This window comes from Homo sapiens, chromosome 21 (genome assembly GCF_000001405.40).
Source record: "Homo sapiens chromosome 21, GRCh38.p14 Primary Assembly".
Taxonomy (NCBI): domain Eukaryota; kingdom Metazoa; phylum Chordata; class Mammalia; order Primates; family Hominidae; genus Homo; species Homo sapiens.
In genome coordinates, this window is record NC_000021.9 from 46,161,160 (window position 1) to 46,184,542 (window position 23,383).

The following is a 23,383-nucleotide window of genomic DNA, read 5'->3' on the forward strand; positions in this document are numbered from 1 at the left end:
TGCAAACGGATGATTTTAATGAGGGGTGAGAAGCACTCCGCAGGTGCGGGCAGCGGCGGGCTGCGGTCGGGGCCCAGCACCGGTGGGAGCGGGGCCTTCTCTGGCCTCGCGCGCGGGGGACGCGGCCCTTTCCCCTCCGGGGGGACGCGCAGGAGGCACCGCGGCCCCGGGTTGGAACAAACGCGTTTACTGCAGGCAAGGCGGCGGGCGCGGGGCGGCTCACCAGGCGAAGAGGGGCTTGCCGTCCTCCTTGGAGAGCTCGCACAGGCAGTTGAGCAGCAGCAGCGAGTCGCCCAGGAACTTGGGGGGCACCACGTCGATGACCAGCTTGCGCAGCGCGGCCGGGCTGCTGTGCAGGGGGTTGGCGCGCAGGTCGGGCCGCTGCTTCAGGATTCCGTAGGTGTTGATGAGGAACTCGCTGAACGCCGGGTGCACGTCGCGGCTGTAGCCCAGCTTCTCCAGGCGCGCGCTCAGGGCCAGGTAGCGCTGCGTCAGCTCGCGCAGCTTCCTCTCGTCCACGGAGCCGTCCAGAGACTTGGTGGAGGTCTGCGGGCGCAGCGCATGGATGGGGGTGGGGGGCTCGGGGCCCTCGGACGGGGACTTCCAGGCCCAGGGCCGATCCCTGCCCCGCCCGCCTGGGTCCCCGGGGTCCCCTCCTGCGGACAGTGCCCGGCCAGGAGCCAAGATCTGGGGGCCGCACAGGGACGGACCGAGCGCCCCGCACCCTCCTGGCCGCGCCCTCCCCACGGGGCGCACCTGCTCGATCTTCTCGGGGATGTTGGCCACCGTGAAGCCGTAGAGCCGCGTCACGCCCGGGAACACGTAGGCCAGGATGCGGCGGTCCAGCTGGAAGGCGATCTCGCCCACCACGCGCGCGTCCTTCTCGGCGCCCGCGAAGCTCTGGATCTCTGGGGGAGGGAAGGCCGGGGACAAGGTCAGGGGAGCGCGAGGATCCACTGCCCTCGAGGGTGCCCTCGGCCACGTGGGGGGCGGCTCCTCCACCCCCCTCCTCCCACCTGCCGCCACCCCCCACTGTCTGGCAAATAGAATCTGAAAGAAAAGGAGCTTCTTAAAGTGCCAAAGGGCAAGCCAGCCTTCCCTTCCCCCTGTCCTCGGCTCCCTTCTGTCCCTTTGCGATGAGGTAAACCTTTTAATCTCGGGGGTGGGGACTGGTCCCCTGTCACGCGGGAGTCTGCCCCAGCGTCGGCCCCTGCGAGGACAGAGGAACCCGGCCCTGGAGGTCTGAGTTGGGACGGGTCCCCTCCAGTGAGGACGCCCGTGGAACAGGGCCGGTCGGCTTGGCTGGGAGGAAGGGGGAGAGTTCTTCTGTCTTGGCAACCTCTGGGCATCAAAGGCTGCTTTAATGTTTATTCAATAAAACTGCTTCATTCTTTCCTACCTCTGAGAAAAGGACCGCTGGGTTGGCAGGACTTTTTTTTTTTTCTTAGACAGAGTCTCACTCTGTCATCCAGGCTGGAGTGCAGTGGCGCCATCTCCACTCACCGCAACCTCCGCCTCCCCGGCTCAAGCGATTCTCCTGCCTCAGCCTCCAGAGTAGTGGGACTACAGCCGCGTGCCACCACACCCAGCCAAGTTTTTGTATTTTTAGTAGAGCTGGGGTTTCACCCTGTTGGCCAGGCTGGTCTCGAACTGCTGACCTCAGGTGATCCGCCCACCTCAGCCTCCCATAGTGCTGGGATTACAGGCGTGAGCCACCGCACCTGGCCCAGGACATTCTACTTTAATTACTTCCTCAACATTACTTAGGAGACTGCAATGCTCCCACAAAACCTGCTTCCGAACCCCCCTCCCCAGGACAGCCTCTGATGGCATCCGAGTCCGTAACAGCACATGACCTTGTCCATCTTTTTCCTGGAGGACGGGAAACAGTATCTCATTTGCATTTCACTAACGACTAGTGATTCGAGCATCTTTTCACGTGCTTATTGGCCATTTATATACTGTATCTTCTTTGGAGAAATATCTATTCAGGTCCTGTAGTGATTTTTCATTGGATTGTTTGTCTTCTTACTGTTGAATTGTCAGAGTTCTTAAATATTCTGCATACTAGTCCCATTTCAAACGCACAATTTACAAATGTTTTCTCCCATTCTCCGGGTTGGCTTTTCATTTTTTTGATACTGTCCTTTGAAGCACAAAAGTTTGTTTTTTTGTTTTGTTTTACTTTTGATGAAGTCCAATTTGTCTGTTTCTCTCTTTTGCTCATGCTTTTGATGTGATCTCTAAGAATCCATTGCCAAATCCAAGGTCACGAAGATTTACCCCTATGTCTTTTCTACAAGTTTTCTGGCCTCAGCTCTTTGAGACCTCTTAGGTCTTTGATCCATTTTGAGTTAATTTGTGTATGTGGTGTGGAGTAAGGCCCAGCCTCATTCCTTGGCATGTGGATACCTCTTTGTTCCAGCACCACGCGTTAGACAGTATTCAGTCCCTCCTGAATTGTCTTGGCACTCTTGTTGAAAACCATCTATGTACAGTTTTATTTCTGACCTTCCCATTCCATTGCATTGATCTGTATGTCCATCGTTATGGCAGTACCACAGTCTTGTTAACTGTAAGTTTTATAGTCAATTTTGAAACTGGGAAGTATGAGTCCCTCAATGTTCTCCTTTTTCAAGATCGTTTTACTTATTCTGGTTCCTTACACTTCTATATGAATTTCAGTTTCTGCTTGTCAATTTCTGTAAAGAAGCCACTAGGATTCTGATTGGGATTGCATGAATCTGCAGATCCAATGTAATCCATATCAAAATTATTGATTTTTGAACAATATAAAGTCTTCTAATCTGTGAACACAAGGTGTTTTTCTGTTTATTTATTTATTGTTTGTTTGTTTGTTTTTTTGAAGAAAGGGTCTCGCTCTGTCACCCAAGCTGGAGTGCAGTGGCACGATCTCAGCTCACTGCAACCTCTACCTTCTGGGCTTGAGTGATCCTCCCACCTCAGCCTCCTGAATAGCTGGAACTACAGGCATGCACCACCACGACCAGCTAACTTGGGTGGTGGGGGGTTGGTAGAGATGGGGTTTCGCCCTGTTGCTGAGGCTGGTCTTGAACTCCTGGGCTCAAGAGATCTGCCCATCTCAGCCTTCCAAAATGTTGGGATTACAGGTGTGAGCCACTGTGCCTGGTCATTTATGTCTTCTTTCATTCCTTTCAGTGATGTTTGTAGTTTTCAGTGTATTTCTTTCCCAATCACTTTTCAAGACTGCAGAAGAGGTATGTCAACACACTGCACAGAAGTGTGTTAGGGCCAATGAGGGGTGTGGAAGAGCAGGTGTAATCTCCTCCTTCTGTATCAATGTATTTCTCTCATCAAGAATCAAGCTCTTGGCCAGGTGCGGTGGCTCATGCCTGTAATCCCAGCACTTTGGGAAGCCGAGGTGGGTGGATCACAAGGTCAGGAGTTCGAGACCAGCTTGGCAAACATGGTGAAACCCCATCTCTACTAAAAATACAAAAATTAGCCAGGCATGGTGGCGGGTGCCTGTAATCCCAGCTACTGAGGAGGCTGAGGCAGGAGAATGGCTTGAACCCGGGAGGTGGATGTTGCAGTGAGCCGAGATCGCACCACTGCACTCCAGCCTGGGCGACAGAGCGAGACTCCATCTCAAGAAAAAAAAAAAAAAAAAGAATCAAGCTCTTTCTCCCATCCCCCCACCAAGGCAAAAATGAGGTAGAAGAAACATCCTATAGAAGAGAAATGATTCTAGTATAGGTTCTAGAAATGATTTCTAGTCCAACCTGGGCTCTGTAAGATCCAGCCAAAAACCTGTTCTTCAAAGGAAAAAGGCCATACATTGATAAACCTCTAGCCAGACTTAGGGGAAAAAAGAAAGAAGACAAAAATTACCACTAGCAGAAATTAGAGATGCCACTACCACAGATTCTACAGACATAAAAAGGATAATAAGGAAGTATTAGGAATGACTTTATGCCAATAAATTTGACAACCTAGATGAAATTGACCAATTCCTTAAAAGACACAAACTACCAAAGTTCACTCAAGAAGAAATAGATACTCTGAATAGCCTTATATCTGATAACCTTACAGGTCACATTTGACAGTTTAAAAGTAAACAGACTTCCAAACTGGCCTGCTTGGGAAGGTCTTATGATTAATGGTCCCTGAGTAAAGAATCTTATCATGATTTCCTCAGATTGCTGATGTGCTGATTAATGGACTGAAAAGATGCTGATTTATTCCTGAATCATAAAGGTTTACTGACTGTCTTGCACAGAGATGTGTTGACCTGTATGTTGTCATCTGTAGCCAATGCTTGTAACCTCTGTGTTGTACCCTCCAAAGAAAAGGACAACATGAGTATGAGGAGTCCTTTCTCTCCTCCTAGCCTCTCCTGTAGAAGCCTTCTGACTTAGATATGAGTATGAGTCCTTTCCCTCCTCTTAGCCTCTCCTATAGAAACCTTCTGACTAGAAAAGGACAACATGAGTATGAGGAGTCCTTTCCCTCCTCCTAGCCTCTCCTATAGAAGCCTTCTGACTTAGACATGAGTATGAGGAGTCCTTTCCCTCCTCCTAGCCTCTCCTATAGAAACCTTCTGACTTAGATTCCAGAACACTCTCAACTTTGTTGGTGTGTTCCTCTGGGTTGATCCTCACATTTGGCTTCCAATAAACCTTTATCGAATTATTTGTCTCAACAGCCTTAATTTCAGTTGACATTATCAATAAAATGGAATTTGTAGGGGGAAAATGTTCCCACAGAGACCATTCAAGGCTCGGGTAGTTTCAGCGGTGAATTCTACCACTTAAGGAATAAATAACACCAATTCAACACAAACTCTTCTAGATAAAGAGGAGGGAAGACCACAAAACAATGAGAAAACAAATAACAAAATGGCAGGAGTAAATCTTTATCAATAATAACTTTGAATGTAAATAGGCAGGTGCAGTAGCTCATGCCTGTAATCCCAGTACTTTGGGAGGCTGAGGTGGGCGGATCACTTGAGGTCAGGAGTTTGAGACCAGCCTGGTCAATGTGGCAAAACCCCATCTCTACTAAAAATACAAAGATTAGCTGGGCGTGGTGGCACGCACCTATAATCCCAGCTACTCGGGTGGCTGAGGCATGAGAATCACTTGAACCCAGGAGGCGGAGGTTGCAGTGAGCCAAGATTGCACCACTGCACTCCAGCCTGGGCATCAAAGTGAGACCCTGTCTCCAAAAAAAAAAATTACAGCACAGTCAAATCGATGAATGATAGTATGTGAGTTTGGTCAAAAACAACCAAGAAACTTTGAATGTAAATAGACTAAACTCTCCAATCAAAAGACGGAGTGGCTGAATGGATAAAAAAAAAACAAGACCCAACCATCTGCTGCCTACAAGAAACACACGTCGCCTATAAAGACTCACACAGACTGAAAATAAAGGGATAGAAAAGGATATTCCATGCAAATGAGAACCAAAAAAGAGCAGTAGCAGCCATAGTTATATCAAAGTGGATTTCAAGACAAAAACTATAACAAGAGACAAAGAAGGTCATTATATAATGATAAAGGGGTCAATTCAGCAAGAGGATATAACAGTTATAAATATATATGCACCCAACACTGGAGCACCCAGATATGTAAAGCAAATATTACTAGAGCTAAATCGAGAGACAGACCCCAGTACAATAGTAACTGGAGACTTCAATACGCATTTTCACCCTTGGACAGATCTTTAAGACAGAAAATCAAAGAAATATCAGACTTAATCTATACTATAGACCAAATGAACATGATAGATATTTACAGAACATTTCATCCAACAGGTGCAGAATACACCTGCTTCTCATTAGCACATGGATCATTCTCAAGGATAGACCATATGCTAGGCTGCAAAACAAGTCTTTAAAAATCAAAAAAATTGAAATTATATCAAGTATCTTCTCCGACCATAATGGAATAAAATGAAATCAATAACAAAAGGAATTTTGGAAATTATACCAACACATAGAAATTAAACAATACGCTCCTGGATGGCCAGTGCATCAGTGAAGAAATTAAGAAGGAAATTTTAAAAATGTCTTGAAACAAATGATAATGGAAACACAACACACCAAAACCTACTATGTACTAGATTCAGCAAAAGCCATACTAAGAGCTATAGCTGTAAGTGCTAAGAGTTTATAGTTATGAGTGCCTATATCAAAAAAGTAGAAAAACTTCAAATAAGCTAATGATTCATCTTACAGAGCTAGAAATGCAAGAGCAAACCAAATCCAAAATTAGAAGAAAAATAATTAAGATCAGAGAAGAAATAAATGAAATTTAAATGAAGAAAACAATACAACAGATCAATGTAACAAAAAATCGGTTATTTGAAAAGATAAATAAAATTGACAGGCCAGGCATGGTGGCTCATGCCTGTAATCCCAGCATTTTGGGAGGCCGAGGCAGGCGAATTGCTTCAGCCCGGGAGGTCAAGACCAGCCTGGGCATCGTAGCAAAATCCCATCTCTACAATAACAAAAACACAAAAACCAAAAAATTAGCCAGGCCTGGTGGCATACACCTGTAGTCCCAGATACCTGGGAGGCTGAGGTGGGAGGCTGGCCTGAGCCTCAGGTGGATATCTACATGCAAACCTCACACCATATATGAAAATTAACTTGGAATTGATCAGAGACCTACATGTAAAACCTAAACTATAAAACTTCTAGAACAACACACAGGAGAGAATCTGTGTGACCTTGGGCTTGGCAAAGATTTCTTAAACTGAACATAAAAAGCATAAAATACAAAAGAAAAATCAATAAATTGGACATCATCAAATTAAACAGTTTTGCTCATCAAAAAACATTATTATGAAAATGAAAAACCATGGAGTGGGAGACCGTATCTGCAAAACATACACCCAAAAAAGGACTCATATCCAGACACATAAAGAACTCTCACAACTTCCCAAGAAGAAGATAAGCAACCCATTTTATCTTTAAAGATGGACAAAAGACTAGGACAGACACAGCCTTGGACCCCAGCCTCCCAGCCTGGCTCTCCTCCCTCCACTCTGTGTGACTGGATGGAGAAACGGCCCTGCCTGACCACCCAGTCATGCCCTCCCCACAGCTGCCAGCCTGCACTGGGGGCCCCCCCAGGTGCCCCCGCACCCGGCCATACCATTGAGGTAGTAGCTCCTCCTGGTCCTGTCCCCGGTGGGCAGGCTGCTCTCCGAGAAACACACCTTCTTAGGCCGGACCATCTCCCTGGGCTCCAGCAGGGTCTTGTCCACCAGTGAGTCTTGCAAGGGGCTCAGGAGCGGGGACAGCTTCCTGTCGGTGCCTCGGTGGCTATGTGGCTCTGGGGGACTGAGGAAGGCCTTGAAGGGTGCCTGGGAGGGGGCTGCACAGCCCGGGGAGGTGTCGTCCTCGCTGGACAGGGGGGCATGTGAGCACAGCAGGTCCTCCAGGGAGGATGTCTGCAGTTGGGAGGGCGTGTCGGCAACACTCGTGAACCTTCCGAAATCTGGAACTGAGGCGGGGAGGAAAGGGATGAGAAATCAGGCTGATGCTCCTAAAACATTCCTGGGAAGTATAAAGAACATGTTAACAACCCCTATGCACCCCACCCCAAGCTTCAACACCTGCCGGGGTTTCCCTGGCTTCAGAGCATCCTCCTTCCCCTCAGGCCTCAAGTGTAAAAGGAGGAGCTGGATGTGGTGAAGTGGCCACAGGTGCCCATCCTGCCCGTGGGAGCACTGCGTCTATGGGCACAGCAAGCGGGCAGGCCTCCGTGTGCCTCCTGCCTGCCTGTGTGCCCACACACACTGGAGAATGACTTTTATATGCTTAAGTTGTACATAAATGGTAGCACCCTACACATTTTATTCTGCAACTGAACTTTTTGCTGCTGCATTATCTCTTTGAGATTTATCCACCCTGAGCCATCTGGTAGCTACCTGGTTCATTTAACTGTTTCCTGGCAACTCTGTACACATGAGCACACATACAGACACACACACTGAATTTTTAACCCTTGCCCTATTGATGGACAGGGCCTGTTTCCATGTTTCCGTGCAAACACACAGCTGTAATTGGCCTCCCGGGAGGAGCCTTCTGCTCTGTGAGCATCCTCTGTGGATGAGGAGGAGCCCCCTGCTCTGTGAACATCCTCTGTGGATGGGGAGGAGCCTCCTGCTCTGTGAGCATCCTCTGTGGATGGGGAGGAGCCCCCTGCTCTGTGAGCATCCTCTGTGGATGGGGAGGAGCCCCTGCTCTGTGAGCATCCTCTGTGGATGGGGAGGAGCCCCTGCTCTGTGAGCATCCTCTGTGGATGGGGAGGAGCCTCCTGCTCTGTGAGCATCCTCTGTGGATGGGGAGGAGCCCCCTGCTCTGTGAGCATCCTCTGTGGATGGGGAGGAGCCTCCTGCTCTGTGTACATCCTCTGTGGATGGGGAGGAGCCCCCTGCTCTGTGAGCATCCTCTGTGGATGGGGAGGAGCCCCTGCTCTGTGAGCATCCTCTGTGGATGGGGAGGAGCCCCCTGCTCTGTGAGCATCCTCTGTGGATGGGGAGGAGCCCCTGCTCTGTGAGCATCCTCTGTGGATGGGGAGGAGCCCCCTGCTCTGTGAACATCCTCTGTGGATGGGGAGGAGCCCCCTGCTCTGTGAGCATCCTCTGTGGATGGGGAGGAGCCCCTGCTCTGTGAGCATCCTCTGTGGATGGGGAGGAGCCCCCTGCTCTGTGAGCATCCTCTGTGGATGGGGAGGAGCCCCTGCTCTGTGAGCATCCTCTGTGGATGGGGAGGAGCCCCCTGCTCTGTGAACATCCTCTGTGGATGGGGAGGAGCCCCCTGCTCTGTGAGCATCCTCTGTGGATGGGGAGGAGCCCCTGCTCTGTGAGCATCCTCTGTGGATGGGGAGGAGCCTCTGCTCTGTGAGCATCCTCTGTGGATGGGGAGGAGCCTCCTGCTTTGTGAGCATCCTCTGTGGATGGGGAGGAGCCCCTGCTCTGTGAGCATCCTCTGTGGATGGGGAGGAGCCTCCTGCTCTGTGAGCATCCTCTGTGGATGGGGAGGAGCCCCCTGCTCTGTGAACATCCTCTGTGGATGGGGAGGAGCCCCCTGCTCTGTGAGCATCCTCTGTGGATGGGGAGGAGCCTCCTGCTCTGTGAGCATCCTCTGTGGATGGGGAGGAGCCTCCCTGCTCTGTGAGCATCCTCTGTGGATGGGGAGGAGCCTCCTGCTCTGTGAGCATCCTCTGTGGTCCAGGAGGAGCCTCCTGCTCTGTGAACATCCTCTGTGGATGGGGAGGAGCCTCCCTGCTCTGTGAGCATCCTCTGTGGATGGGGAGGAGCCTCCTGCTCTGTGAGCATCCTCTGTGGTCCAGGAGGAGCCTCCTGCTCTGTGAACATCCTCTGTGGATGTGGAGGAGCCTCCTGCTCTGTGAGCATCCTCTGTGGTCCAGGAGGAGCCTCCTGCTCTGTGAACATCCTCTGTGGATGGGGAGGAGCTTCCCTGCTCTGTGAACATCCTCTGTGGATGGGGAGGAGCCTCCCTGCTCTGTGAACATCCTCTGTGGATGGGGAGGAGCCTCCTGCTCTGTGAGCATCCTCTGTGGTCCAGGAGGAGCCTCCTGCTCTGTGAACATCCTCTGTGGATGGGGAGGAGCCCTCTGCTCTCTGAACATCCTCTGTGGATGGGGAGGAGCCTCCCTGCTCTGTGAGCATCCTCTGTGGATGGGGAGGAGCCTCCCTGCTCTGTGAACATCCTCTGTGGATGGGGAGGAGCCTCCTGCTCTGTGAACATCCTCTGTGGATGGGGAGGAGCTTCCCTGCTCTGTAAACATCCTCTGTGGATGGGGAGGAGCCTCCTGCTCTGTGAACATCCTTTGTGGATGGGGAGGAGCCTCCTGCTCTGTGAACATCCTCTGTGGTCTGACGCTGGGCTCAGGTGTGTTCACTTTCTTTGCTTTCCACACCAAGGGGGAGGGTCCATGCCCACCAACACCTCCTGGCCCCACACCCTCATGAGGACTGAATATTCCCCAACCAGGCTGATGAGGTCATGTGGCATTTCCCCAATCCCTGGCCAAATTTAGCTTATCTATGCCTTTATGGCTTATGAAATTCTATTCTACCTCCATGTCATGTGTATTCTCCTAGCAATAAAGCAAATACATATTAGAGAAAGTGTTCGGAGCCATATCAAAAAATTATACCTTAAAATGTGCCTACTGGAGCTTGCAGTGAGCCAAGATCGTGCCACTGCAATCCAGCCTGGGCGACAGAGCAAGAATCCATCTCAAAAAAAAAAAAAAAAATGTGCCTACAAAGGAACCAACTAATCTTCCCTCTGAAATGTTTTCCAAGGAAAAAAAGTTCGAAAGAAGCAAAGTCATCAGCGTGTGCCCGGCCTCCTGCCACGTGGGAGGCCTGGAGTCCTCAGGCTTCACAGACCCCCCACCCCAGACACTTTTCAAATTATAAAAGAATATTATGTACAATTATGTATTAATTAAAATTTCAATAAAAGGAGATAGCCTGGAAAATTACTTTCAAGTGACTCAATAAGAAGTAGAAAACCTAAATGAACCAATACACAAAGAAGGAAAATCTAAAAGTTATGAAATGATTATTCCCCAGAGGGCTGCAGGCCTGGATGGTCTGTGGGTGAGTGTGCCAAGTTCCCAAACAAGTCATAATCCCGACATCATACAAATGAGGCTGGAACCGTAGAACAGGTTAAAAGATGCTCAATTAGGTTTCAAAATTTGTCACAACTCTGATGTCAAATTCCTACAAAGATAACCCCCAGAAAAAAAAAAAAAAAAAAAAAAACCATGGCCAGGCCAAAAATAATTGCACAAAGTCTCATCCAAACATGATCAAGAACACACAGCACGAGGCAGGAGTGTGCACAGAGCATGAGGCAGGAGTGCAGAGCATGAGGCGGGGGATGCACAGAGCATGAGGCAGGAGTGCAGAGCATGAGGCGGGGGATGCACAGAGTGTGAGGTGGGGGATGCAAAGAGCGTGAGGCGGGGGATGCACAGAGCGTGAGGCGGAGGATGCACAGAGCGTGAGGCGGGGGTTGTGCAGAGCACAAAGCGGGGAGGTGTGCAGAGCACAAGATGGGGGTGGAGAGCATGAGGCAGGGGTGTGTGCAGAGCACGAGGCGGTGGGGTGGAGAGCAAGAGGCAGGGTGTGCAGAACCCAGTGGCTGTGCAGCGTAGCAAGATACCAGATACGGTCCCTGGCAAGAAGCTGAGATACCTCCACTGGTACAGAGATAGGCTCACAAACACCGAACAAGATGAGCCATTTCTCAAATTTTCTGTTTTCCAAAAATAAGAACAGGAAGGACTCTTCCACAGCATCCAGCCTGTGCAAACCTCCCTCCTCTGGGCAGATGGGACCGTTGGTCCTTCCCACAGCTGGTCAGGAGGACCAGGATGCGGCCAAAACCCTCTCTCACCTTCCCTGGAGGAGGCCCCATGAAAGTCAAGGCCAAGGCCCGAGTTCTGAGTAATAAGGACAAAGACAGAAATAAGAAGTTCATGTGGATTGGAAGGGCGGGATGGCCGGCCAGATGCAGCCAGATGATACAGCTCCCACGGAGGGCCTGAGATGACTGGTGAGCTTCTAACACATCTTCAGAGGGAAGGTGCTGAGGGCAGATGGAGGGAGCACACAGAAGCTGGGCTGAAGGGGAGAAAGCTGGGAACCTGCCTGGGACTACTGAGCACTGGTGCTCATTTTTGGACCCACAACAGCTCTGGGGAAATGGGGGAGTTAAACGGGCAAGGAGCAACCCACTGTTGCCATGGGCCTCTGGAACCCCAGCTGGGGGAGACCCCTTGCCCACCATGGACACTCTAGTTGGCAGGGAGAGCTGCTTAGAGAAGTGATGGGGGCAGCAGCCAGCTGAAGCAGAACCCAGAGGGTCTGGTGCAGGAACACAGCCAGGGACGGCCGTCCCCCAGGCTTGATTTGCTCCCACAGGAGACTTTGGACCTAGGGGAACTGTCAGACCTGTTCTCTGCAGGGTGGTCTTACCCATCAGATGGGACCAGTCCAACCTGAGCACCCCTTCGTCTGCTGGCCTCTCCTGGGGCCCCAGCCTGGCCATGCCTGCTTGCAGGGCAGTCTTGGGTGCCCTGGGGGTCTTCACCATAGCTTCTGTGCCAGCAGACTGTGCCTGGCCAGTGGAGAGCTCCAGTGAGACAGCCCCGACGGCCACACACCAGCCTGCCTGCTCCCTCCTCATATTGTAGCTTCCCCTGGGCCCAGGCAACTCCCCACATCACTCTGCTGATGTCTGCACAGGTGGGTTTTGATTTCCTTCCCCCACCAGCATGCAGGAGTCCAGTGGGCCTCCCCTTTCCCTACAGACTTCCATTGCAGGTGAAGCCTTGGCAGACACAGAGCCAGCAAGCCCCATACCCGCCAGAACCCTGCCTTTGACCTAACACTGAGCAGAGAACAGTGGATCCTCCCCCACCCTGAGCGATCACTCCTGCTTGCAGGGCACAGAAAAGGCACCTAGACCTGTGCCAACCAGCACCCCACCCATGCCTATAGTACCTCCAGAGTAACTGCACACAGTCTCCAACAGGAGCCCCCCATCCCCACCCCAGCTGCTTTGCCTCCACCACTGTGGTGAACCCCCACAGGAAGGCAGGCACTCTGCATCTGCCAGCCACTCTGCTGTAGCTGCAGTACCTCAGCCCCCCAGTGCAGTGGATTCCAAACCTCAAGGAGCCAGAGAACAAAGTCAGGGCCCAAAACAAGTCCCCCAGAGCTAGAGCATGCAGAGTCCAGGAGTTGGCAGCTGGGCACTGGCCCCTTAAATATTCCATAAATGAAGCCAGTTGGCTGAATCCACCTTATACCACAATCAAAACCTCAAGGTCATCAAACAGACCAGGCATGGTGGCTCATGTCTGTAATCCCAGCACTTTGAGAGGCTGAAGCAGGTGAATCACTTGAGGCCAGGAGTTCAAGACCAGCCTGGCCAACATGATGAAAACCCATCTCTACTAAAAAATAGAAAAATTAGCCAGGCATGGTGTTGGGTGCCTATAATTCCAGCTACTTGGGAGGCTGAGGCAGGAGAATCACTTGAACCTAGGAGGCAGAGGTTGCAGTGAGCCGAGATTGTGCTACTGCACTCCAGCCTGCCTGGGAGACAGAGCAAGACTCTGTCTCAAAAAACAAAACAAAAAAAAAAAAAAAACAGAATGGCAAGCTAGATAAAGAACCAAGACCCATTGGTATGCTGTCTTCAAGAGACCCATCTCACATGCAATAACACAAATAGGCTCAAAATAAAGGCATGGAGAAAAATCTACCAAGCAAATGGAAAACTATGATTGCAGGGTTGCAATCATAGTTTCTGACAAAACAGATTTTAAACCAATGAAGATCAAAAAAGACAAAGAAGAGCATTACACAATGGTGAAGGGCTCAATTTAACAAGCAGACCTAACTACACTAAATATATATGCACCCAACACAAGAGCACCAAGATTTATAAAGCAAGTTCTCAGAGACCTTCAAAGAGGCTTAGACTCCCACATAATAATAGTGAGAGACTTCAACACCATACTGACAGTATTACAGATAATTGAGACAGAAAATTAAAAAAGATATTCAGGACATGAACTCAGCACCGGATCAAATGTACCTGACAGATATCTACAGAACTCTCCACCCCAAAACAATAGAATATACATTCTTCTCATTGCCACATGGCACACACTCTAAATTCAATCACATAATTGGAAGTAAAATACTCCTCAGCAAATGCAAAACAACTGGAATTATAACAAACAATCTCTCAGACGACAACGGACCCAGTTAGAAATCAAGCCTAAAAAATTCACTCAGAACCACACAATTACATGGAAATTGAATAACCCGCCCCTGAATGACTTTTGGGTAAACAGTGAAATTAAGGCAGAAATCAAGAAATTCCTTGAAGCTGATGAGAACAAAAATACAACATACCAGAATCTCTGGGACACAGCTAGGGCAGTGTTAAGAGGGAAATTTATAGCATTAAATGTTCACATCAAAAAGTTGGAAAGATCTCAGTCAAACAACCTAACATCACAGCTAAAAGAACTAGAGAATTAAGAGCAAACAAATCCCAAAGCTAGCAGAAAACAAGAAATAACCAAAATCAAAGCTGAACTGAAGGAGATTGAGACACAAAATACTATTCAAAACATCAATGAATCCAGGAGCTGGTTTTTTGAAAAAATTAATAAAATAGATATACCACTAGCTAGACTAATAAAGAAGAAAAGAGAAAAGATTCAAATAAACACAATCAGAAATAAGGGATATATTACTACTGACCCCGCAAAAATACAACCAACCATCAGAAAATATTATGAAAACCTCTATACACATAAACTAGAAAATCTAGAAAAAATGGATAAGTTCCTGGACACATACACCCTCCCAAGACTGAACTAGGAATAAATGGAATCCCTGAACACACCAATAACAAGCTCTAAAATTGAGTCAGTAATAAATAGCCTACCAACCAAAAAAAGCCAGGACCAGATGGATTCACAGCTGAATTGTACCAGATGTACAAAGAAGAGCTGGTACCATTCCTGGTGAAACTATTCCAAAAAGTTGAGGAGGAGAGTCTCCTCCCTAACTCATTCTATGAGGCCAGCATCATCCTGATAACAAAACCCGGCAGAGATGCAACAAAAAAAGATAACTTCAGGCCAATATATTTGATGAACATTGACGCAAAAATCCTCAACAAAATTCTGGCAAACCAAATCCAGCAGCACATCAAAAAGCTTATCCACCACAATCAAATAGGTTTTATCCCTGGGATGCAAGGTAGGTTCAACATAAATCAATAAATGCGATTCATTACATAAACAGGACTAAAGCAAAAACCATATGATTATCTTAATAGATGCAAAAAAAGCTTTCAACAAAATTCAACACCCCTTCATGTTAAAAACGCTCAATAAACTAGGTATTGAAGGAACATACCTCAAAATAGTAAGAGCTATGTATGACAAACTCACAACCAACATCAAAACTCAACCCCTCAAAACTTGGCACAAGACAAGAATGCCCTCTCTCACCACTCCTATTCAACATAGTATTGGAAGTCTTGATCAGAGCAATCAGGCCAAAGAAAGAAATAAAGCCCATCCAAATAGAAAGAGAGGAAATCAAACTATCCCTGTTTGCAGATGACATGATCTTATATCTAGAAAATCCCATAGTCTCAACCTAGATTCTTAAGCTGATAAACAACTTCAGCAAAGTCTCAGGATACAAAATGAATGTGCAAAAAACACTAACATTCCTATATACCAACAACAATCAAGACAAGAGCCAAATCAAATGGAATGAACTCCCATTTACAACTGCCACAAAAAGAATAAAATGCCTAGGAATACAGCTAACTAGGGAGGTGGAGGATGTCTACAAGGAGAACTACAAAACACTGCTCAAAGAAATCAGAGATTACACAAATGGGAAAACATTCCATGTTCATGCATAGGAAGAATCAATATCATAAAAATGGTCATACTGACCAAAGTAATTTTATAGAGTCAATGCTGTTCTTATTAAAATACCATTGAGATTAATCACAGAACTAGAAAAAAACTGTTTAAAAATTCATATGGAACCAAAAAAGAGCCCGAATAGCCAAGGCAATCCTAAGCAAAAATAACAAAGCTGGAGGCATCACACTACCCAACTTCAAACTATACTACAGAGCTACAATAACCAAAACAGCACGGTACATAGATCAATAGAACGGAACAGAGAACCCAGAAATAAGTTTGCACACCTATAACCACCTGATCTTCAACAAATCTGACAAAAACAAGCAATGAGGAAAGGACTCCCTATTAAATAAATGGTGCTGGGATAACTGGCTAGCCATATGCAGAAGACTGAAATTGGACCCTTTCCTTACACCATATACAAAAATCAACTCAATATGGATTATAGACTTAGATGTAAAACTCAAAACTATAAAAACCCTGGAAGACAACCTAGGCAATACCATTCAGAACATAGGGATGGGCAAAGATTTCACAACAAAGATGCTAAAAGCAATTGCAACAAAAGCAAAAATTGACTAATGGCATCTAATCAAAGAGCTTCTGCACAGCAAAATAAACTATCAACAGAGTAAACAGCAAACCTACAGAATGGGAGAAAATTTTTACAAACTAATGCATCTGACAAAGGTCTAATATTCAGCATCTATAAGGAACTTAAAGAAATCTACAAGAAAAAAACAAACAACCCCATTAAAAAGTGGGCAAAGGACATGAACACTTTTCTAAAGACATACATACAGCCAACGAGCATATGAAAAAAGGCTCAACATCACTGCTTATTAAAGAAATGTAAATAAAAACCACAATGAGACACCATCTCACACCAGTCAGAATGGCTATAATTAACAAGTCAAAAAACAACAGATGCTGGCAACGTTGCAGAGAAAAAGAACGCCTATACACTGTTAGTGGGAGCATAAATTAGTTCAGCCATTGTGGAAGACAGTGTGGCGATTCCTCGAAGACCTAAAAACAGAAATACCATTCAACCCAGCAATTCCATTACTGGTTGGGTTCCATTAATGGTACCCAAAGGAATATAAATCATTTTATTATAGAGACACATGCACGCATATGTTCACTGCAGACTATTCACAATAGCAAAGACACGGAATCAACTTAAATGCCCATCAGTGGTAGATTGGATAAAGAAAATGTTGTACATAGACACCATGGAATATTATGCAGCCATAAAAAAGAAAGAGATCAGCCGGGAGCAGTGGCTCATGCCTGTAATCCCAGTACTTTGGGAGGCCAAGGCAGGTGGATTACCTGAGGTCAGGAGTTCGAGACCAGCCTGACCAACATGGTGAAAACCATCTCTACTAAAAATACAAAATTAGCTGGGCATGGTGGTGCATGCCTGTAATCCCAGCTACTTGGGAGGCTGAGGCAGGAGAATTGCTTGAAATCGGGAAGCGGAGGTTGCAGCGAGCCGAGATCGTGCCATTGCACTCCAGCCTGGGCAACAAGAGTGAAACTCCATCTCAAAAAAAAAAAAAAAAAAAAAAAACCAGAATGAGATCATATCCTTTGCATGAACATGGATGGAGCTGGAGGCTATTGTCCTCAGCAAACTAATGCAGGAACAGAAAACCAAATGCCACATGCTCTTACTTATAAGTGGGAGCTAAACAACGAGAACACGTGGACACATAGAGGGGAACAACAGACACTGAGACCTACCAGATGGTGAAGGGTGAGAGAAGGGAGAGGATCAGGAATAATAACGAATGTACTAGGCTTAATACTTGAGTGACAAAATAATCTGTACAACAAACTCCCATGACACAAGTTCACCTATGTAATAAGCCTGCACTTGTACCCCTGAACTTAAAAGTTTTTTAAAAAAGAAATACATGGCCAGGTGCAGTGGTTCATGCCTGTAATCCCAGCACTTTGGGAGGCCGAGGTGGGTGGATCACCTGAGATCAGGAGTCCAAGATCAGCCTAGCCAACATGGCAAAACCCCATCTCTACTAAAAATACAAAAAGTAGCCAGGCATGGTGGTGTGTGCCTTTAATTCCAGCTACTGGGGAGGGCAAGGCAGGAGAATCGCTTGAACCCAGGAGGCAGAGGTTGCAGTGAACCAAGATGACACCACTGCACTCCAGCCTGGGCAACAGAGCCAGACTGTGTCTCAAAAACAAACAAACAAAAAACCATTTACTCCTGCCTTCTGAATCAATGATTCTATTTTTTAAAAATAAATCCAGCTGGACAGTGGCTCAAGCCTGTAATCCCAATGGTTTGGGAGGCCAAGGTGGGAGAATTGCTTGAGCCCAGGAGTTTGGGACTGGCCTGGGCAACATAGGGAGACCCTGTCTCTACAAAAAAAAAAAAAAAATTTTTAACTAGCCGCTCATGGTGGCAAGCACTGTAGTCCAAGCTACTCAGGAGGCTGAGGTAGGAGGATTGCTTGAGCCCCAGAGGTCGAGGCTGCAGTGAGTCATGATCATTGCCACTGCACTCCAGCCTGGGGAACATAGACCCTGTCTGAAAAAGAAAAAAACATAATGGGCCAGGCACGGTGGCTCACACCTGTAATCCCAGCATTTTAGGAGGTCGAGACAGAAGGATCCCTTAAGCCCAGGAGTTCAAGACCAGCAACATAGAAGATCCCATCTCCATAAAAGTAAAAAAAATCACACACACACCAAAAAAAGAAATCCAATGGAAATAACCTTAAATATAAAAATTCTTAAAACCTTTTTTGTGGTGCTATTTACCTCAAGGGGAAGAAAAACTTTAATTTCAAACTGAGGGAGAATTCATTACATTGTGGTTCATCCGAATCGGCAATATTGCAGGGCCATTTTAAAGTACACCTAACAACACAGGGACAATCTTCTGTCATGTCAGACGGAAGGAGTGACCAGGAGTTGCACATAGAGAATTCTCACCACTGTTGGAAATCATCTGACAATCCACCACCAACAACTAGGGAGCGAGTGGGCAATCTGGGGGGGCCTGGCTGTCCTCCAGGGGACACCTCTCCAGTGGAGACACGGCGAGTGGCATCGTGGCCGTGCTGGAGGGACCAGGACAATCCCGAGGGAGACGAGATGGGGCAGCTGGGAGGGGAGGCAGAGGACTGCTGCTCCCACTGGCCCTTCGCGTCACTCACTTGTAAACCTGGGTGAGAAGACCTGGAGACCTCGCTCCCCAGCTGACGGGGACAGATGAGCCCTCCTGTGACGTGGGAACGATGCCGGCGCAGTGCCCTCCTCCTCCATCAGTGGGGTGTAGGGACCGTTCAGAGAGCGTTTGACAGTGTCTGTTTCAACATTTCAAATGCACACAGCCTTTGACCCGAGGACCCAGGTGTGGGATCCCCTACACAAAGCCACAGGGCGCCTGCGCAGGCCACCCACGGCGGCGGCGTCCACGGTCGCAGAGAACTGGGAACAGTGCTGCCTGCCTGGGGCCCCCACAGAAGGAGCCCAGTGTTCAAGTGTGCCGGGGAGATCTGCAGATAAGGACTGGTGGGGAATGCCGCGAAATGGATCGTTAAGGGGGAAAAGTCAAGTTGCGGAACAGCACAATCCCGTGTAGGTGGACCAAAAAGATACACAGACAGACACACAGATCTCCACTAAAGTTCCAGAGAAAACCCAAGAGAACGTTGATTGTGGCTGCCTTTGCGGAGGGGGCCGGAGGCGTGGCCTGAGGCTTAAACGTTGCACCCTCCATGGCGTTTATAAGTTTACCATGAGCACGTGTTGTTGAATCCGTAAGAAAAGCAGGTTTTTACTCATCCTGTTTTGAACACAGATGCTAATGAAGTCTTGGCAACATGCAGACATTGCTGGTGGTGGTTCCTTTGTTTATAAACTTCTCCTTTTTTGCAGAAGCTCAGTGCTGGTCTTCCCAACCCCAGTTCTGCTGAGGGCTGGTCCTGAATGCAGCGTCCCACAGCCCCAGGTACATTCCCAAGCACATGCTGAGGCCCAGAGCATTAAGGGTGCACCACACGCTGCCACTCAAGTGGCAGAGTTTAGAGGGTGGTCTTGTCCAGGCCCCTCCCCGCTGCCAGCCCGGGCCACACTGAGCCTGCCCCACACCCTGTGGCGGGGGCTCCAAGGCCCTCTGTGGAAGGCCTGCTGGCCTCAGGTTGAGGCTCCTCCCAAGACCCGTGTCCAGCAAGACCTGGGTTTGCCAAGATGACCCAAGGGCAGGGGCAGCAGCCGTGGTCATGGAGACCCCGCCCGGACTCAGCCCCTGACAAGGGTCCCTCTGGGGACTGCACAGCCTGGGCAAGGGTTGAGGGTCTGCCCCTCTCCTGCCAGGGGAGGCACCAGCACTCTGTCCAGCCCTGAGGTCCGGCCCAGGGTGATTCCTTCTTGAGGAGGAGGACAGCAACGCAGCCCGGGGCACGCAGCCTGCGGCGGTCCACACACGCCAAACAGATTAAGGGCCCTTTTGCAGCCACAGTGCCCGGGCCTCACAAGTGCTGTGAACGGGACCCTGCACGTGGCCCAGCACCGTAAGCGCAGGTCTGCCCAGCAAACGCCCTGTGGTGAGCGTGGGGCTCAGTGGCCGCTGATGGAGACGCAGAACCTGGGGCCTCGCACAGCATGGCCCCCAGGCGCCAGGTTCCCCAGCCACACTGTCCCCGCACATCCTGGCGAGGTGCTCTCCTCCCAGCTCCCTGCGAGGAGCCCCTGCCTGTCACCAGAGACCAAAGGTGTGGGGACGATGCCATGGATTCCCCTCTTTGCTTCCAGACACGCTCGCTCTCAGGCTTGTCCATGGAGCTCCGAGCAGGGCCTGGGGCCTGGCTGCGGAGAGTGCCTCCTGCACACTGCGCCTGCTCAGAGTGCACATCTGAGGGTGGTGGCCAGCGTTTGAGAAGGACTCAGGAAGCAACCTCCCCCACCCCCAGCACAGGTGCTGGAGCGGCCCCTTGGTGAGTGGCAGAGCTGGCCTCCCGGGCATGGCTCGTGCTCGCAGACAGCAGTGTTCACGGGCACTGGCGAGGCTGCCTGCTCCATCGTCCAGGACCAGGCAGGCTGACCACGTCCTTTCCGGGCCCGGCCCGGTGGGAAGCTGAGGTTGGCCGTGGGAATCCCAGGCAGTGCTGGGTCAGGGACTCTGTCCTCTGCCCACCATCCCAACAAAAAGTCAAGGGTACATCTGTCAGCCCCACCCCAAATCACATGCAGGAACGGGTAATGTTTTTCCCAAACCTTTTAGAATAAAGCCTACTACTTTGCAGAAAGTGACCAAACCCTATATATATACTTTTTTCAGTAAAAAGCCACAGAAGGTCGGAGTCAATGCTATGTGGTGAGTGGATCATGGCTCCACACTCCCAGCCCCGCAGGGACAGGCGCCCACTTGTCCCTACCTGCTCCCCTGGCCGGTGGCTCTGAGGCCTCCCCAGGGTGGGACCTTCCCACCATGGGGCTGGCCTGGCTCTGGCCGGGGACATGAGTGGATGGGACACAGCACTCATGGGACTCGTGTGGCTGGTCTGACACCCCCCTCGCCCCTGACCCAGGAGAAGAGACACATGCAGCAGAGCAAACTGCCAGCCAGGACCAGCCTGGAAGAGCTGCCTGGGGCCCTGGAGGCCCACAAGCCTGCGCGCCACCTGCTCTACCCCTATGGGGACACTTCCATGACTGCAGCTGACCAGTCCACCTGCCAGCGGTTGACCACTCCCACTTCGCCAGCGACCGAAGGGGAGGGGAGGGGCCTCACCTGAGGGCAACAGCAGAACCCACCACCTGGTCTTGCTTTACTCAGACCTGAGGGTGTGAAAGGTGCCCGTGACCTCCCGCATCAGGGAGCTGGCCGCCACCCTCGACTCCCGGGGAGCAGGCGTCCCGCGACCCCCTCATCTACCAGGCCATCTGAGCTGGGCGGCGCCTCACCTCCGCTCCCGGGGGAGCCGGCCTCAGGGTAGGCATGCGCCCTGGGTGGGAGCAGGTCGTGGCCGCCGCCCTCCTGGCAGCTCTGGCTGAGCAGCCGCCGCAGCATCTGATTCTCCTTCAGGAGGCGCACCTGCTTCTTCAGGTCCGCGTTCTCGCTCAGGAGCCGGCTCATCAGCTCGCCGCCTTCAGCCATGGCGGGTGCGTCCCTCCTTGTCCCTCACGGCTCCTGCAGCCCCATGGAGGTGGGAGCCCAGAGCCCGCAGGCACCACAGAAACAGCCCAGGCACGGAGTTCCGTAGCCACCACCGCCTTCCACGCCTTGTGATGTCACTGCCCTAGTGATGAGGTGCCCAGCACCCTGCCTGCCCCCGCGATGGCTCATGGCCCCGTTGAGGCAGTGAAGCTGGAGGCCCGTGGCGTGCACAGGCAGCCACTCCCACATTATGACCAGGGCCCGAGAATGCCAAGGACATTAGGCAGCTACGGGATGTAGCGACTGTACTCCAAGAGGGGCGTCCAAGCCACTCCCCATTGAGCGGCCCAGCCAGGGTCGGGTGTCCACCCTGTGTGGTGTCCTCAAGCTGGGTGGGGACGCTGCCTTCACCCGAGTAACATGTGGGCTGCACTTCCCATAGGACCTGCCCAGGACACAGGGTTCCCAGTGCAGCTTCCTGTGGACCCTGGCACCCAGGGCAGCAACTGATGTGCAGGTGTTCATCAGGGTCCGTCCTTGGCACCCACACTTGAGGAGGGAGGGACTGGCAAGGGCAGTGGGAGGAGACCAGCATGTGGGGGAGACCAGCCTGGTGGGGAGACCAGCTTGTGGGGGAGACCAGTCTGCGGGGGAGACCAGCCTGGGGAGGAGACCAGCCTGCAGGGGAGACCAGCTTGCGGGGGAGACCAGCCTGCGGGGGAGACCAGCCTGGGCGGGGAGATCAGCCTGGGGGAGGAGACCAGCCTGGTGAGGAGACCAGCCTGGGGGAGGAGACCAGCCTTGTGGGGGAGACCAGCCTGCGGGGGAGACCAGCCTGGGCGGGGAGATCAGCCTGGGGGAGGAGACCAGCCTGGTGAGGAGACCAGCCTGGGGGAGGAGACCAGCTTGCGGGGGAGACCAGCCTGCGGGGGAGACCAGCCTGGGCGGGGAGATCAGCCTGGGGGAGGAGACCAGCCTGGTGAGGAGACCAGCCTGGGGGAGGAGACCAGCTTGCGGGGGAGACCAGCCTGCGGGGGAGACCAGCCTGGGCGGGGAGATCAGCCTGGGGGAGGAGACCAGCCTGGTGAGGAGACCAGCCTGGGGGAGGAGACCAGCCTTGTGGGGGAGACCAGCCTGGGGGAGGAGACCAGTCTTGCGGGGGAGACCAGCCTAGGGTGGGGAGACCAGCCTGAGGCAGCCCCACGATGGCCCCCACATGCTTTGGAGCACTGGGTGGCCCTGAGGGCTGGGCTGGAGGCCACCTACTGACCTCACTCCCTGATGAGAAGGGTCCAGCAGTGCATGTCCACCCCTCAGACCACGAGCGCCCGTGTCTAAGACACCAATTGTTCCTGACTGCACTGCTCCTGCCTGCACGTAACTGAGGACGCCCCCAACCCATGGCCACGGCCCCTCGGGCCGTCACACAGGGCTGCGGCTCATGGGGCCCTGCTAGAGCAGGCGTCTGTCCTCAGTCAGTGCGACCGACTTGAAACCCACCCTGACTCCCTGCTTCAATTACTTGGGAAAGTAAATCACCTCAGTGTTGTTTCTTGGCTCCGAGGGTCTTGTTTTATCAGCAGCCGGGATGCAACAGATGGGTCATCTCATCCTCATGGGAAGGGACGTACGGCAGAAAGCACAACCCAGTGGGCCGGCCACACCTCCAGCCCTGTGACGGGCACCCACCACCACCAACCCAGTGGGCCGGCCACACCTCCAGCCC

General features: G+C 50.8%; 1 protein-coding gene across 4 annotated transcripts, besides 5 other annotated features; it reads right to left on the minus strand.

The window, feature by feature from the left end:
• On the minus strand, positions 1-23,300 carry SPATC1L (spermatogenesis and centriole associated 1 like). Of its 4 annotated transcripts, none has more exons than XM_005261188.6 (5): positions 23,197-23,300; positions 21,465-21,690; positions 7,149-7,499; positions 757-908; positions 1-546 (listed from the first exon to the last, which is right to left on the minus strand). In XM_005261188.6, exons 2-5 carry the CDS (start codon positions 21,655-21,657, stop codon positions 220-222), a joined length of 1,023 nt encoding a protein of 340 aa, XP_005261245.1. In that variant the 5' UTR covers positions 21,658-21,690; positions 23,197-23,300; the 3' UTR covers positions 1-219. The 4 variants fall into 4 exon arrangements, with proteins under 4 accessions (XP_005261245.1, NP_001136326.1, NP_115637.3 ...); NM_001142854.2 differs by having other exon boundaries at positions 21,465-22,615; NM_032261.5 differs by lacking the exon at positions 21,465-21,690.
• Positions 9,031-9,531: an enhancer, noted in NCBI's record as "H3K27ac hESC enhancer chr21:47590104-47590604 (GRCh37/hg19 assembly coordinates)". NCBI's record gives its function as "activates a minimal SCP1, AML or CMV promoter by ChIP-STARR-seq in primed H9 embryonic stem cells {active_cell/tissue: H9 hESC(primed)}" and the evidence as "EXISTENCE:reporter gene assay evidence [ECO:0000049][PMID:30033119]".
• Positions 9,532-10,032: an enhancer, noted in NCBI's record as "H3K27ac hESC enhancer chr21:47590605-47591105 (GRCh37/hg19 assembly coordinates)". NCBI's record gives its function as "activates a minimal SCP1, AML or CMV promoter by ChIP-STARR-seq in primed H9 embryonic stem cells {active_cell/tissue: H9 hESC(primed)}" and the evidence as "EXISTENCE:reporter gene assay evidence [ECO:0000049][PMID:30033119]".
• Positions 18,942-19,545: an enhancer, noted in NCBI's record as "H3K27ac-H3K4me1 hESC enhancer chr21:47600015-47600618 (GRCh37/hg19 assembly coordinates)". NCBI's record gives its function as "activates a minimal SCP1, AML or CMV promoter by ChIP-STARR-seq in primed H9 embryonic stem cells {active_cell/tissue: H9 hESC(primed)}" and the evidence as "EXISTENCE:reporter gene assay evidence [ECO:0000049][PMID:30033119]".
• Positions 21,362-21,965: an enhancer, noted in NCBI's record as "H3K27ac-H3K4me1 hESC enhancer chr21:47602435-47603038 (GRCh37/hg19 assembly coordinates)". NCBI's record gives its function as "activates a minimal SCP1, AML or CMV promoter by ChIP-STARR-seq in naive H9 embryonic stem cells {active_cell/tissue: H9 hESC(naive)}" and the evidence as "EXISTENCE:reporter gene assay evidence [ECO:0000049][PMID:30033119]".
• Positions 21,966-22,569: an enhancer, noted in NCBI's record as "H3K27ac-H3K4me1 hESC enhancer chr21:47603039-47603642 (GRCh37/hg19 assembly coordinates)". NCBI's record gives its function as "activates a minimal SCP1, AML or CMV promoter by ChIP-STARR-seq in naive H9 embryonic stem cells {active_cell/tissue: H9 hESC(naive)}" and the evidence as "EXISTENCE:reporter gene assay evidence [ECO:0000049][PMID:30033119]".
• Positions 23,301-23,383: the final 83 nt, after the last annotated feature.